This window comes from Homo sapiens, chromosome 10 (genome assembly GCF_000001405.40).
Source record: "Homo sapiens chromosome 10, GRCh38.p14 Primary Assembly".
NCBI classification, from domain to species: domain Eukaryota; kingdom Metazoa; phylum Chordata; class Mammalia; order Primates; family Hominidae; genus Homo; species Homo sapiens.
Window position 1 is genome coordinate 24,873,732 of NC_000010.11, and position 16,585 is coordinate 24,890,316.

The 16,585-nt window shown below is 42.7% G+C and overlaps 1 protein-coding gene across 2 annotated transcripts in view, besides 1 other annotated feature; it reads right to left on the reverse strand.

The window, feature by feature from the left end:
• PRTFDC1 (phosphoribosyl transferase domain containing 1) overlaps window positions 1–16,585 on the reverse strand; it is a 103,993-nt gene that overhangs the window by 25,118 nt on the left and 62,290 nt on the right. The window lies entirely within an intron of this gene.
• Window positions 13,898–14,107: an enhancer, noted in NCBI's record as "active region_3160". NCBI's record gives its function as "activates an Ori minimal core promoter by ATAC-STARR-seq in GM12878 lymphoblastoid cells {active_cell/tissue: GM12878}" and the evidence as "EXISTENCE:reporter gene assay evidence [ECO:0000049][PMID:35858748]".

Here is a 16,585-nt window from a genome sequence, read left to right on the forward strand (position 1 = left end):
TCTCACTTGTAACTGTGTCTCTATCTAGAAGTACAGTTACTTTGTTATGGAGTTGGTCATCTGGGAAGGGAAAAAACAGCCAAACCACCAGTAGGACAGTTTTGCCAATGAAACACCTTTTGTCTTTTTACCTTGCTGCTCAAACGAAAAAAAAAAAAGACCTTATAATTTTTTACCTTTTTTTTTTTTTTTAAGAGACATGGTCTCACTCTGTCACCTAGCCTGGAGAGCAGTGGTGCAATCATAGTTCACTGCTGCCTCAAACTCCTGGGCTCAAGCGATCCTCCTGCCTCAACCTCTCAAGTAGCTGGGACTGCAGGTGCTCACCACTATGCCTGGCCAAATATATTTTTACTTCTGCTTGGTAAAGCATTCACTCCTTACCATGGATGGTTGGAGGGGGCACAGGCAGACAAGGAGAGAGGCTTCACACACTAGCTCATCCTGAAAGTGGTCCACTAAGTTAGATAAAACCAGTGATTTTCTTCTTATGGGAATTGATGTCAAAAGGAGAAAAATCAAAGGATATTCTGAATTTACAGATGTTTTGCTGTTTTTGTTCATATATCACCAGATATTCACAAGTAGTCATGACAGTGGTTAAGGACTTGTCAAAAATGTCAAAGGAGAAAATTTTCTTGTCACTGCTAGAGATGCTGAAATAGAGGAATTAACACAGGAAGAATTTCTGCACATTAGACTTAAATATGTTGTTAATAGCAGCAGGAAAAATAAAATTTCAGTACTTCCAGGGACTGGGTTATACAGAATTGAATACAACTACTAAACTACAAAGTTTAATGTAACCAGTGAGATTTATAGTCTGTCAGATCAGAGTAAATTTCACAATAATTCTACTATTTTCATCTTCATTCTATTGATTAAAACCAAAAACCACAAAAATCAGATAACTAAATAATGTGCTAAAAGTCATAGATTATGTTACCAAGCAAGTGTTACTTAAGAAAGTCCTACTTCTTCCAAGTGTACAAACGTGTTTTTTTAAAATTTTTAATTGACCAACAATTACTATATATATTTGATATGGTTAGGCTGTGTCCCCACCAAATCTCATCTTGAACTGTAGTTCTCATAATTCCCATGTGTCATGGGGAGGGACCCAGTGGGAGGTAAATGAATCATGGAGGCAGTTACCTTCATGCTGTTCTCATGATGATGAGTGAGTTCTCACGAAATATGATGGTTTTATTAAGGGTCTTTTCCCCCTGCTTCATTCTGCACTTCTCCTTCCTGCCATCATGTGAAGAAGGGCATGTTTGTTTCTCCTTCCACCATGATTGTAGGTTTCCGGAGGCTTTCCTAGCCCTGTGGAACTGTGAATCAATTAAGCCTCTTTCCTCTATAAATTACCCAGTCTCAGGTATGTGTTGGTATTAGCAACATGAGAATGGACTAATACAATATTTATGAGGTACAATGCGATGTTATGATACGTTTCTACATTATGGAATGATCAGATAAGGCTAATTAGCATATCCAACACTTCAGATATTTATCATTTCTTGTGTTGAGAACATTTAAATCCTCTTTTAGCTGTTTTGAAATATACATTATTATTAATTGTAGTCTTTGTGCTGTGCAATAGAACACCAGAACTTATTCCTCCTATCTGCCTGTAACTTTGCACCCACTGACCAACCTCTCCCCATTCTCCCCTGCTGCCCCCAGCCTCTGGTAAGCACCATTCTATTCTCTACTTCTATGAGTTCAGCTTTTTTATATTACACATATAAATGCAATTATATGGTATGTATCACTCTGTGCCTGGCTTATTTCACTCAGCATAATGTTCTCAGTCCTTTCATGTATATACATGTTTTTAATACTAGATTTGCCCTTAATTCATCTGGAATTTATATCTTCCAAGTGGGTATATTGTCAATTGTTCCAATATAATTTATGGAATTATTATTTTTCCCTACTGGTTTGAAACATCATTTTGATCTTGTCTTTCATTCTCATATGTAAGGGTCAGTTTCTATATTTTTCTAATCTAACATGTCTACTTCAACATTAATTAATCTAACATGTCCAATTAATTAATCTAACTTGTCTATTTCCAACACCCAAATCATATTGTTATAATTCTCATAGTTTTTTTTTTTTTTTTTTTTTTTTTAAGAGACAGGGTCTTGTTCTGTCATCCAGGCTGGAGCGCAGTGATGTAATCATAGCTCATTGCACCCTCGAACTCCTGGCTGCCAGCAATCCTCCTGCCTTGGCTTCCCAAAGTGCTAGGATTATAGGTGTAAGCCACCACGCCTGGACTTATCAGAGCTTTTTAGTATGTTTTAATACTTGATAGGGCAAGTCTACTTTTTGTTCTTTTTAAAAATTGCCTTGAGGCTGAGGGTGGTGGCTCATGCCTGCAGAGGCAGGCACTTTGGGAGGCTGAGGCAGGAGGATTGCTTGAGCCCAGGAGTTTGAGACCAGCCTGAGCAACATAGTGAGACCAACGTTTCTACCAAAACAAAACAAAACAAAAAACCCAACAAACCCAAAACTGTCTTGGTTACTTTTGTACATTTTTTTTTTCCTGTCTGGTAGATTGTACAAAGATTAACTGAATTAATGCATGTGGAACATTTAGAACAGAACCTGGCACATGTTTAGCATTCAGTAAATGCTAGACAGGATTAATTTCTTTTTAAAAAATTTTATGGCCAAGGGCGGTGGCTCACAACTGTAATCCCAGCACTTTGGGAGGCCGAGGCAGGCGGATCACGAGGTCAGGAGTTCAAGCCCAGCCTGACCAATATGGTGAAACCCCATGTCTACTAAAAATACAAAAATTAGCCAGGTATGTTGGTGCACACCTATAGTCCCAGCTACTCGGGAGGCTGAGGCAGGAGAATCGCTTGAACCTGGAAGGTGGAGGTTGCAGTGAGCCGAGGTCATGTCACTGTACTCCAGCCTGTGTGACAGAGCGAGACTCCATCTCAAAAAAAAAATTTATTATTATTTATTTTACTTTTTTATAGAGATGAAGTCTCACTGTATTGCCCAGGCTGGTCTCGAACTCCTGGCCCCAAGCAAACCTCCCACCTCAGTCTCCCAATTTCTTTTTCTTCTTTCCCCCAACCCCCCGCCCCCCGACTCAGCCCCTGAGGAAATGGCTACTCAGTCCTCCACTGGTACACTGGAGTCTAGGGCTCCCCTGGTTTAAACACTCCAGAAAAATAAGCCTTTTATTTCCCACTGGGATGGTGAAGGAAACTTAGAGGTTCAGCTTCTCCATTCAAAGGCTTTCAACCAACCTTGTTGTTTTTATTCCATTCCTTCCTTACTCCACCTTCTAAAAACCTACTCCTGAACCTTTCAGGAATTTGTGGCACGACCCCCCTACTTCTCAGTGATAGTCCCCTCCACAGGCATTTTGATGTTCACTTTCTCTATTAGGCTGAGTCAGTGCTCTTCCTTAATCAGGCACATACCACCATGCCCGACTAATTTTTTTTTTCCAGTAGAGATTGGGTCTCACTATTTTGGTCAAGCTGGTCTCAAACAACTGGGCTACAGTGATCCTCCTGCCTCAGCCTCCCAATCGTTGGGATTATGGCCGTGAGCCATCCCACCAGGCCTAACCATGATATTTTTCTAATGGTTCAAAATCATCCTATATTTCTTGGATTGATGTTTGTGTGTTTTTAATGAACGTCGCTGGTTTGAAGATAGATGAACAATCCCAAATAAAATATTATAAGTCAGATTGGTCCATTGTTTTATTTTCTTTTGCTACCTTTGTGTATTTTTAAAGCAAAGTTATGCTAGCTTCATGTAATAAGTTGGTTTTTCTATGCACTAGAAGATTCTGTATATAAATGGATTTAGCTGTTTCACTAATGTTCAGTAGAGCTCAGAAATAGTTTCATTTTATTTTATTTTTGAGACAGAGTCTTGCTCTGTTGCACAGGCTGGAGTGCAGTGGTACAATTTCAGCTCACTGCAACCTCCACCTCCCCAGTTCAAGCGATTCTCCCACTTCACCCTCCTGAGTAGCTGGGATTACAGGTATGTGCCACCATGACGGGCTAATTTTTGTATTTTTAGTAGAGATGGCGTTTCGCCATGTTGGTCAGGCTGGTCTTGAACTCCTGGCCTCAAGCAGTCTGCCTGCCTCAGCCTCCCAAAGTGCTGGGATTACATGCATGAGCCACTGTGCCTGGCCAGAATAGGTATTATTTGATCTCCAATTTGCAAATGAAGAAACAGAGACAATAAGAGTTTAAGAAACTTTCCCAAAGAGAGCTGGGTGTGGTGGCTCACGCCTGTAATCCCAGCACTTTGGGAGGCCGAGGCAGGTGGATTACTTGAGGTTAAGACCAGCCTGGCCAACCTGGTGAAACCCCATCTCTACTAAAAATACAAAAAGTAGCCTGGCGTGGTGGCGAGTGCCTGCAATTCCAGCTACTCAGGAGGCTGAGGTGGGAGAATCGCTTGAACCTGGGAGGTGGAGGTTGTGGTGAGCCAAGATTGCACCACTGCACTCCAGCCTGGGCAACAGAGCAAGACTGTATTAAAAAAAAAAAGAAAGAAACTTTCCCAAAGAGGTGCTGCTGGTAAGCGAATGAGCCCAGTTCAATCCTAGATTCGCCTGACTGCACAACATTCTTGTGTAGCACCTGACCCTCACCAGTATTCCTGGAGGGAAGAAGCACATAGTGGGTCCTCCCTGGAGAGGAACACCAAGGGGTGCAGGATCTGGCTGCATCAGTGAAGTCAGAGGCATAAGTTGAAATGGACAGGAGAAATCAACATCTCCGTAGGAATGCTGGTGGCAGAGGATGTGTGGATTTACTTAAATACAAAAGGAAACCTCTGACCTTTAGTCATGCATCTTTGGAAAAACCATTTTGGAAATATTAGGTGACCTGGGCTCTAGGTACTACATAGAGCACGCCAGATAGCGCAGCAGGGGAGACGATTCCTCACCAAACAGACAATTTGGACTGCTTTGAGAACATTCAGGAAAAAAACAAACCGAGGAAGAATACATATCCTAAATATCCTGTCCTTTTGAGGAACCAGAAGAGGAAAAGTAAAGAAAACAAATAAACAAGAGAACCACCCTCTAAGCCATTCATTTCAAGAGTCAGAGCGCAACTTGCTTCAAAATCTCTACACAAAGGCTGTCTCAATATTCTCCGCCCCCACAGAGGCCTTAACTTTGCTTTTCCCCTTTTTTCATCCTAATCCTTCCTCTCAGCTATTCTCCTGTTCTCAAAGAGGTCGCTGATACTCTATCAAATGGACAGAGATGCAAAACAGAGTCAGAAACATTTCATTATAAGAATATTTAATGATCAAGCTGGAGAGCTCCTAATTAAAATGTTGCAACTGGCTCGAATTGATTTTTTTCAAAACTCTGAGCATTTGATACCAGCTCAGATAATAAGGACAGGTGAATTGATTCCAGTATTCCTCGTTTTCCAATCACTCGTTGATGTGAGATGTGACTTGTAATTGAGTCCCTCAGTCTTTTAAGCTGCATGGAGCCAAAGTGGAAGTTGATGCAGAGCCAGGGTCAGTGAAGCTCTCGCACTGTCCCTTGCTTCCACCAGAGCTGTTCTACCTGTCTCTGTTGTATTTGCTGATTTTTTTTTTTTTTGAGATGGGGTTTCGCTCTTGTTACCCAGGCTGCAGTGCAGTGGTGCGACCTTGGCTCACTGCAACCTCCGCCTCCCGGGATCAAGCGATTCTCCTGCCTCAGCCTCCCAAGTAACTGGGATTACAGGTGCGTGCCACCATGCCCGGCTGATTTTTTTGTATTTTTAGTAGAGAGATAGGGTTTCACCATGTCGGCTAGGCTGGTCTGGAACTCCTGACCTCAGATGATCTGCCCGCCTCGGCCTCCCAAAGTGTTGGGATTACAGGAATGAGCCACCATGCCCAGCTGTATTTACTGAATTCTAAAGAAGACACTGGGGAGGAAATGTTCTGCTACCAAAAAACCCAAAAGTTTGAAAACTATTAAGTGGGTGCAAAAGTAACTGTCGTTTTTGCCTTTTATCAAATGGCAAGGACTGCAATTACTTTTGCACCAACCTAATATCATGTTAATGCTTTTATCCCTTGAAATCAACTTACCTTCTTTTCAGTTTCCGGTTCATTTAAATACCCATTTGGTGCTTAGATTGTTTTTGTGGAGAAACTCATGCTTGCAATCTCTGTGGGGTGAGTGGGGAGAAGGGAGAATGTGGAGACCAAGCGAACAGGCAGCTGGCATCTCACGAATTCAGGGACCAGGCTGCCTGGGTTCCGGCCACAGCTCCACTTTTTGTGCACTGACCTTGAGGAAGTTACCTAACCTTTCAGCGCTTCAGTTTCCTTATGAATAAAAAGAGTACATTCAGGGTTCCTACTTCATAGGAGCATAGGGAGGACTAAATGAATTAGTACGCATTAAGCACTTAGAAAAGTGCCTGGTATTTTATAATAAATAGTACATAAAGTTTGTTCTGTCTTCTTGACATCTGTCTTTAGTATTTTTTTTTCTTTTTTTTCTTTTTTTTTTTGTTGAGACAGAGTCTTGCACTATTGCCCAGGCTGGAGTGCAGTAGCGTGAACTCAGCTCACTGCAACCTCTGCCTCCTGGGCTCAAGTGATTCTCCTGCCTTAGCCTCCCAGGTAGCTGGGATTACAGGCTACCAGGCCCAGCTAAATTTTTTGTTGTTGTTGTATTTTTAGTAGAGATGGGGTTTCACCATGTCTTTAGTCTTGCCTTTAATCTTAAGAAACATACACATCTGTGTGAGTCTCCTGACATTGGTTTTGTGATTTATTCTTTGTTCATTCACACAGCAGATAACACATACATGTAAGCCATGTGCTCTGTGGTTAGGGTTTACTGAGGTGGACTGACCCCATGAGGCATATGGTTAAGAAGGACTGCTGTCCCTCTGGTGCCAATCTATTGATTGGCTATCACCTTGGAAATGCACTCATCTGTGTGTTCCTTTGGGGTTTCTCAGTGAACCCCCAGTTCCCATGCTGCAGTGTCTGATGTTTACACTGAGCCATTGCGTGGGCAAAATTTCCATCATTCCACTTTACTGTCTTTCTCTTTCTTTCTTTCTTTCTTTCTTTCTTTCTTTCTTTCTTTCTTTCTTTCTTTCTTTCTTTCTTTCCCTCTTTCCTTCCTTTCTTTCTTTCCATCTTTCTTTCTTCCCTCTTTCTTTCCCCTTTCTTTCTTTCCTTCCTTCTTCTTTCTTTCTTTCCTTTCTTCCTCCCTTCCTCCCTCCCTCCTTCCTTCCTTTCTCTCTTTCTTTCTCTCTCTCTATCTCTTTCTTTCTTTCTTTCTTTTCTTTCCTTCCTTCCTTCTTTCTTTCTTTCTTTCTCAGAGCCTGACTCTGTCATCCACATGGGAAAGCAGTGGTGCAATCATAGCTTACTGCAGCCTCAAACTCCTGGCCTCAAGCGATCTCCCACTTCAGCCCCCCAAGTAGCTGGGACTACAGATGTGCACCACTACACCCAGCTGATTTTTTTATTTTTATTTTTAGAGATGGGGTCTTACTATGTTGACCAGGCTGGTCTTGAATTCCTGGCCTCAAGTGATCCTCCTGCCTTGGCCTCCCAAAGCACCTGGCCCCACTTTGCTGTTTTCATCCTTTCTCTCAATGGACAGCAGTCACCTGGAGATCATGCTCTGACCCACGTTTGTACTTATTGGCTCTCCCTGGACCCATGTTGGTTTTTCTAGAGAGCTATTTACAGTCAGCAGGGCATGGAGTGATCCTGAAACTGCTTTGCAGGATGGAGGTAGAAGATCTGTGGTAGAACATGAGCATGGAGTTCCTGATATTTTTCCAGGTCTGGCTGCATTTTTATCTTGGGGATCAGGTCAACTCCTTTCTATAAAACCACCATTTTAGCTTGTGGGAATTTAATAAAGAATTCACTACTTGTAAACAAAAGAACCTCAACAATCACTCTAGTTTACAGGAAAAGTCAATATTCCACAAATTTTGATAAACATTGTTAATTACCAATTCCTTGCAACCCCTCTCACCATGGCCAATGAACACCGACCACCGTTTTGCACTGAGGGCCCTGGAGTTCTGGGTACAGGAAATGCAATTTGGTTCTTGGTCTTGGCTGGGCATAGCTCATACCACACCTTTCCATCTCTCTTCGAGTGGATAATTCTTATTCTTTCTTCAAGGCTCAGTTTGCGGGGCACGGTGGCTCATATCTGTAATCCCAGAACTTTGGGAGGCTGAGTCAGGCGGATCACCAGAGGTCAGGAGTTCGAGACCAGCCTGGCCAACACGGTAAAACCCTGTCTCTACTAAAAATACAAAAATTAGCCAGGTGTGGTGGCACGCACTTGTAATCCCAGCTATTAGGGAGGGTGAGGCAGGAGAATCGCTTGAATCCGGGAGGCAGAGGTTGCAGTGAGTCGAGATCTTGCCACTTCACTCCAGCCTGGGTGACAGAGCGGATCTGCCTCAAAAAAAAAAAAAAAGAAAAGAAAAGAAAAAGAGAAAGACTCAGGCATCATCTCTTCTAGGAGATTTTCCTGGACTCCCCCTGGCTTCCTCTGCATGGGTGCCCCAATGACAGTATGCATATCTGGATGTCAACAAAGCACATCCAACTGAAATTTTCTGTGAATGTAGCAATTGCCGATGGAATGAAAACTCTTTCAGCACAGCAGCCGACTTTCATCCTAATTGTACCCCCAGTGGCTGGCACGTTGTAGCATTCAGCGTTTGTTGAGCCAGACTGAAACTTGTAAGCGCGCATGTTAGCTGCATTTTTAATGCTTCTTCCCCACCCACTTTAGCCACAAAATGTTGGCAAGCAACACTTCCTGTTATGTCTGAGTGATTCCCACCCAAACTACATTTCTTTATTCTTATTACTATTATTTTATTATCTCAGTTCCTGAAAAGCCTCCTTAATATATACTTTTTATTTTTATTTATTTTTTTAGAGATGGGGTCTCATTATGTTTTCCAGGCTGGTCTTGGACTCCTGGGCTCAAGTGATCCTCCCACCTCAGCCTCCCAAGTAGCTGGGACTACAGGTGTGTGCCACCATGCCCCACATCCTCAAAATGTTAAAAAAACAAATAAAAAAAGTAAAAAAAAATCTAAATGCAAAAGGCCATGTGAATTCTGAACACCGAAAATATAAAAATATGAATTCTTGATATTTTAATACCAGTAGTTCATTGGATAATGAGTAAAGGATACAGTTTTCAAGTGAAACTAGCAATTTTAGCCAGGAAAAAAATTGTATCTATATATATGTAATTACATATATACAAATATGTTTATATATAAACATATATACATAATTTATATATACCAATATTTATATATAAACACATAGAATATAAATATAAATGTATTATAATTATAAATAATATAATATAACATAAATATTATATATATATGTTCATCTATACAATTTAGCTCATTTGAAAGTACACATCCATCTTGCATTTCCTGACTTTGGTGTGCTTAACTCTCCAAACATGATGTGACTTTCTTCTAAGACAAAATGGCTTTCTGTTTAATGACAATGATTAATCACTGTATTGTGATTGGTATTCTACTCCACCCAGTTTCCAAAAGGGGTCCTGGTTAGCTAATCCCCACTGCACAGAGAAAGGCGCTTTTCTTTATGAGAAATAAAGGGAGGGTGGGTCAGAAGGAGGGACACAATAATGGGAAGAAGCTACAGGCTAGTGGGAAGAAAGAAAGGCCACCACGAAAAAGGAAAAAGGGGAGGGGAGAAGGGAATGGATCTTTATTTCAGTTTAGTTATAGATGACCCCAGGAAAAGAGGAAACTCAGTTTAAAAACAGATTCAGCCGCATTGCTTTACATGAACTTTGTTTGAAACCTTGAAGCAGGATATCCTTCTGTTTTGAACCTTGGTATGGACTTCTTGTTTTGATTTAAATTATGTTTTTAAATCATGAGGCAGAGGGACAAACACATGGAGCCTCTTGACACATCTGAATGACCCCAAAGACTCCCCAAAGACTCCAGCAAAGTTTATGTTTTAAAATGTAGTTGATGATATCCTAGCGGTGATCATTTCTTAAGAGACCTTTTTTTTTTTTTTTTTTTTTTATAAGACAGAATCTCACTGTGTTACCCAGGCTGGAGTGCAGTGGCGTGATCTTGGCTCACTGCAACCTTTGTCATCTGGGTTCAAGCGATTCTCAGCCTCAGCCTCCTGAGTAGCTGGGACTACAGTCATGCACCATCATGCCTGGATAATTTTTGTATATTTTTATATTTTAGTAGAGACAGGGTTTGCCATATTGGCCAGGCTACTTTAGAACTCCTGACCTCAGGTGATCCACCTGCCTCGGCCTCCCAAAGTGCTGGGATTTCAGGTGTGAGCCACAGTGCCCGGCCAAGAGACGATTTTCTCCACACAATTGTTTAAAAAAAAAAAAGGAAGATTTAGAATTATCACTTAAATAATTAAATGAAAATGATTTTTCAAAAGTAACAACATCTTAAACCAGCTCTCATGAAACTGTTTTAAGATTGCCAGGAGGATGACATGGTGTTGAGGAAGGGCCCAGGGAGAGAAGTGGCAGCAGATTCTGTGCCATGGAGCCATGGAAACTTCTAGAATACTCACCCACCTTCCAGCATTTGACTGAATCTATCTTCATGTCCATGCTACCGTATTTGGGCCCAAAAAGTTGAGCTCTGTGTGTCACTTCTCAGCTCAAAATATTTCTGAAGATTCCCATGCCTGCAAAAGTCTGGTTTTGTCATAACAATGGGCAGAGCCACCCGCAGAGCCAGGCAAGAGGAGCCCTGCATATCACAAATACCAAAACACTAAGACATTTATTGTTGCTGTTTTTCTTTTTGGTCTTATGAAGAAGATTTTCTTTAGAAAGTTCTGTAACAGATTGAGCTAATGGAATTATTCAAGAGGACATGTATGCTGAAGTAGGCCTGCCCTCCTCTTTGCAGGGTAGAGTTAGGGGCAGTGGTGGAGAAAAGAACAGCCTACCTGGGGAAACAGGCAAAGAGAAAGGGATATTGGCCATCCTAAATCAACCAGGGTAGGGGTCTCAGCAGGACGGCCTCCCCAGATAATGATGCTCCCTTCAGCCCCTGGCTCAGAAGGTATAGTCTTGGAGGCATCTGAGTTGGAAAAGAGGGACATGGAGGAGAAGGACCCAGGACTCTCAGTGCTATTAAGAGCTTCCTGGATCAGTCCCATCCAGGGTGCAGGAGGGTCCTGTCCCCACCTGGGGGCCCTGTCTTCAACTCATGCCCAGCCTTGCCCAGCAGATACCATGTCTGCCTGGGCTTGCAGCCTGGAGGGATGAGCCTGGCTCCTTTAGTCAATCTCCAGGTCAAGTGAAAACCTGAGCTTGGCCATGAACAAAGCTATCAAGTTTCAAAACCTTAACTATTTCAGCAAAGGGTATGTGGATCTGCCTTTGTATTCTCGTCCTGGGACCCATAAATGTTAGGGGCAAGCCTGACTCTCAGAATCATTTACTGAGCATTTAAATTTACCAAGTGCCTGGCACATTAGTAAGCACATTACTTACATGAATCCTAACACAGTCCTATGAGGCAGGATCCAGCAATCACACTCCTTAATATTTATCCAAATGAGTTGAAAACTTATGTCTGCAAAAAGTTACCTAGATGTTTCTAGCAGCTTGATTTATTTTGAGGCAGAGTCTTGCTCTGTTGCCCAGGATGGAGTGCAGTGGCATGACCTTGGCTCACAGCAACCTCCGCCTCCCAGGTTCAAGTGATTCTCCTGCCTCAGCCTCCTGAATAGCTGGGATTACAGATGTGCGCCATCATGCCAGGCTAATTTTTTTACTTTTGGTAGAGATGAGGTTTCACCACATTGGCCAAGCTGGTCTCAAACTCCTGACCTCAAGTGATCTGCCTGCCTCGGCTTCCCAAGTGCTGGGATTACAGGCATGAGCCACCGCACCTGGCCAGCAGCTTTATTTGTAATTGCTAAACTATGGAAACAACCCAGAGGTCCTTCAGTAGGTGAATGGATGAATGAGCTATGATGCATCTATGCAACGTATTACTATTCAGTGCAAATAAGAGCTATCAAGCCATAAAAAGACATGAAGAAAACTTAAATGCATATTACTAAGTGAAAGAAGCCATTCTGAAAGGCCACACACTGTAAGATTCCAACTAAATGACGTTCTAGAAAAGGCAAAACTGTGGAGACAGTAAAAAGATCAGTGGTCAACAGGGGTTAGGTGGGAGGCAGGGAGAAAGAGGAAAAACACAGGATTTTCAGGGCAGTGAAACTATCTTGTATGATACTACTCCAGTGGATTGATATCATCATACAGATCTAAACTCATAGAATATACATCACCAAGAGTGAACCCTAATGCAAACTACGAACTTTGGGTGATAATGATGTGTTAATGTAGGTTTTATTGTAACAAATGTTCAACTCTGGCAGGGGATGTTGATAAGCGGGGAGTCTATGTGGGGCTATATGAGAAATCCTGTACCTCCCAGACAGCTTTGCTGTGAAGCTAAAACTACTCTGAAAAAATGAAGTCTATTTTAAATATTATGAGACAAGGAACAGGTACTGTTATCACCCCAATTTAAGTAACCTGGTTAAGTAACTTTGCCCAAGTTCCCACAGCTGGGAAGTGATGTTGCTGGAGCCAGGCTGGAGATTTCACATACGACCCCATCTTGCTCCAAAGCCTCCACCTGACCAACAGGTTCGGCAGCTTCCGTATTGGCCTGATCACAATCTGCCTTTCAGTGTGACCTGCACTCTAGTGTGTTCCACTGTGCATGGATCACTTGTGCAGATTGTGATTCTGTATGTGTGGGGTGGGGCCTAAGAGTCTGTGTTTCTTTCTTTTTTTACCCCCTTACATTCGGGGTCTCATTATGTTGCCCAAGCTGGAGTGCAACGGTGCTATCATAGCTCACTGCAGCTTCGAATTCCTGGGCTCAAGAGATCCTCCTGCCTCAGTCTCCAGAGTAACTGGGATTGCAGGTGCGTGCCACCATGCCCAGCTAATTTTTTACACATTTCTAACCAGCTCCCAGGTGATGGGGGTGCTGCAGGTCCACAGGCCACCCTTTGAGTAGCCAGGGTCTATGTTCCACACACATCAACTTGTGGGCTAAATCTAGTGCGTATCCTGCATTTTACCATCTTTGTATTTTACATCTTTGTATCTTGTTAATACTCCTTCTTTTTTTTTTTTTTTTTTTTTTTTTGAGACGGAGTCTCGCTCTGTCGCCCAGGTCGGACTGCGGACTGCAGTGGCGCAATCTCGGCTCACTGCAAGCTCCGCTTCCCGGGTTCACGCCATTCTCCTGCCTCAGCCTCCCGAGTAGCTGGGACTACAGGCGCCCGCCACCGCGCCCGGCTAATTTTTTGTATTTTTAGTAGAGACGGGGTTTCACCTTGTTAGCCAGGATGGTCTCGATCTCCTGACCTCATGATCCACCCGCCTCGGCCTCCCAAAGTGCTGGGATTACAGGCGTGAGCCACCGCGCCCGGCCGTTAATACTCCTTCTAATAGGGTTTGGCCATGTCCCCACTCAAATCTCATCTTAAACTGTAGTTCTCATAATCCCCACGTGTCATGGGAGGGACCTGGTGGAGAATCATGGTGATTCAATTATCATGGAGAACAACCTCCATGTTGTTCTCATCATAGTGAGTTCTCACGAGATCTGATGGTTTTATAAGGGCTTCCCCCCTCTCCCTTCGCTCTGCACTTCTCCTTGCTGCCACCATGTGAAGAAGGATGTGTTCGCTTCCCCTTCTGCCATGACTGCAAGTTTCCTGAGGCCTCCCCAGCCCTGCAGAACTGTGAGTCAAACCTCTTTCCTTTATGAATTACCCAGTCTCGGTGTGTCCTTATAGCAGAATGAGAACGGACTAATATACCCTCTATCCAGCATGGCTCTCTGTCACATCTCTGCCTGTCAAAATCATAATCATGCTTAGATATCCAAATTAAGTTCCACTTTCATTATAAACTATCACCTGAACCTCACCCCACCACAACTGTAGGCCAGAAGTGATCTCTCCAGCCAACCCACTTCCTTTGCATGTAGCACCCGTTCAGGCAGCACTGGTTACTTCCTTGTTATATTAGCTACCCCTTGTTCACTGCATATGCATCTGTTCACTTCTGTGTTTTTAAATTTTAAATTTTTGTAGTTTTTGTAGAGACAGGGTCTCACTATATTGCTTAGGCTGGTCTCAAACTCTCGGGCTCAAGCAATCCTCCTGCTTCAGCCTCCTGAGTTACTGGGAATGACTAATTTTTGTATCTCTATAGAGACAGGGTCTTGCTGTGTCATCCAGGTTGGTCACAAACTTCTGGGCTCAAGTGGTCCTCATGCCTTGGCCTCCCAAAATGCTGGGATTACAGGCATGAGCCTCTGCACCAGGCCCACTTCTGCTGTTTTGAAAGCAGCTCGAGGATAGGGACTTTACACCTATCTCCTTAAAGATTCCTTAGTACTGAACAGGGCCTTGGACATAGAAAGGAACATGGTGTAGGACTCAAAGAGTGGCTCAGACCCTGCCCTGCCCCTGTCTTAAGCTCCCTGATGCTAGTCTTCTCTTCTAGAAAATGAGTTCAGTGACACCTACCCGTTTGGGTTGTTGTGAGGTTTAATTTAAATGTCATATGTAAAGTGCTTTACCCAATAGGCCCTTGATAAAATGTCTATTGGATTGAATTTGCCTCTTGTATTATCTGTAAAAGGGAAGGGAGCGGACATGGGAGTGAATTAAGGACAAAACCAGACCTGGCACCGAGTGTCTTAGCTTTTATTCCAATACGTTTTCCACTCTCCCAAGCTTTGCTGCCTTTTAATTCTATGAGTAGCTGTCATTCATGTAGCTAAAATTTGTTAGTGTTTACAGAAAAACACTAGAATGTTATTTACTGGGTTCACATTTTCTATACAAATCACTGACCAAAGTCAGATAGGGCTTAGAAAGAAAAGGTATCAATGTACCCTTAGGTCTTGGTAAGCCATAAAGTAACATAATATATAATATACATCAATAATGTGGTGGTATCTCTACATAACTCAACACAGCAAAACTTAAAAGCAGGCAATGGTTTCCAGATGCAATGTGGAAAAAGAAATTATTATGATCAGCTGGAATAATTGACTTAACCAGTTACTTTCTGGGAAACTGTGGCAAACTCATTTGATTTCTCATTTACTTCATCTGGAAAATGGAAATGCTGCTACCACCTGCCTGTTATGGTCTGAATGTTTGTTACCCCCCTCCCCGACCCTGCCCCAAATTCAGATGTTGAAATCGAATCACCATGATACTAGGAGGTGGGGACTTTGGGGGGTGATTAGGTCATGAAGGCTGAGCCCTTGTGAATTAGGATTAGTGCCTTTAGAAAAGAGACCCCAAAGAGCTTGCTTGCCCCTTCCACCAAGTGAGGACACAGCAAGAAGGCACCATCTATGGACATGAAAGTGGGACCTCGTCTATGGCCATACCACCTAGAACACGCCCGATCTCGTCTGCAAGTGGGCCCTCACCACACACTGAATCTGCCAGCGCCTTGATCTGGGAATTCCCAGACTCTAGAACCATGAGAAAGAAATTTCTGTTGTTTATAAGCCACCCAGTCTATGGTATTTTGTTACAGCAGCCCATACGGACTAAGACAGCACCTTACCCACTTCTCAAAGTTACATAAGGAGCCAACAAATTACTGATATATGCAAATGCTAGGAAAAATGTAAGAAACTTTAAGCAAAAAATTATTAACAATATCATTAGGCATAATATAGAGCTAAGGGGAAAAGGCAATTGATGTGAAATAGAAAGTGGAAGACTTGAAGGGCAAATATCAAGTGTTTTATGCATTGTTATTACTTTTTAGGCTTAAGGTCTTTGTTCAGACTTCTCCAGGTCTCAAATGAGACATGAACACTGTGGAAGAAAGTCAGAGAGCAGAATGTTTCTAGAACCACCTTCCATTTTTCAGAATAAGAAAAGATGGCTTATTTGATGTAGGCATGTTGATTGGCAGTGCAGGCTTGCAAATTCCTTCAGTATTAAGTCATGTCTTCAAAACTGGGTGGGGTGCTGAGTTATTAAATTTTTTCTTTTCCTCTGGAGGCTAAGGGCTTGGAAAGCTGGAGGCTACATGTGAAATGAGTTGGGTGGTCTTGGGCAAATTCTGTGTAAACAGCGTTGCTCATCTAAAAGTAGCACAAAACACTGCACATCTGTCTGTCCATATTATCCAAGCAGAATCTGGACTCCATTAATGTGCTGAGGAATAAATGTATCCTCTAATAAATGTTTTTGAAATCACAGTGAAAAGGAAGTTCCAGGACCCCTAAGGAAATGAGACTCTGCTGTACCAATTTGTTGGCGGAAGCCTGGAAGAGGAGTGGGAGAAGGAAGCCGACCACAGCTGTGTCTGACTTAGGTTGTGCCTTCTTTGAGCATGAGAAATGTGAGGTTCGATATCAGAAGCTACTATTGAGTACCATAGTCTAGGCTGCCGATGAGCAATGCAAAATCACCTGGGGAAGGTGACCTCTGCTCT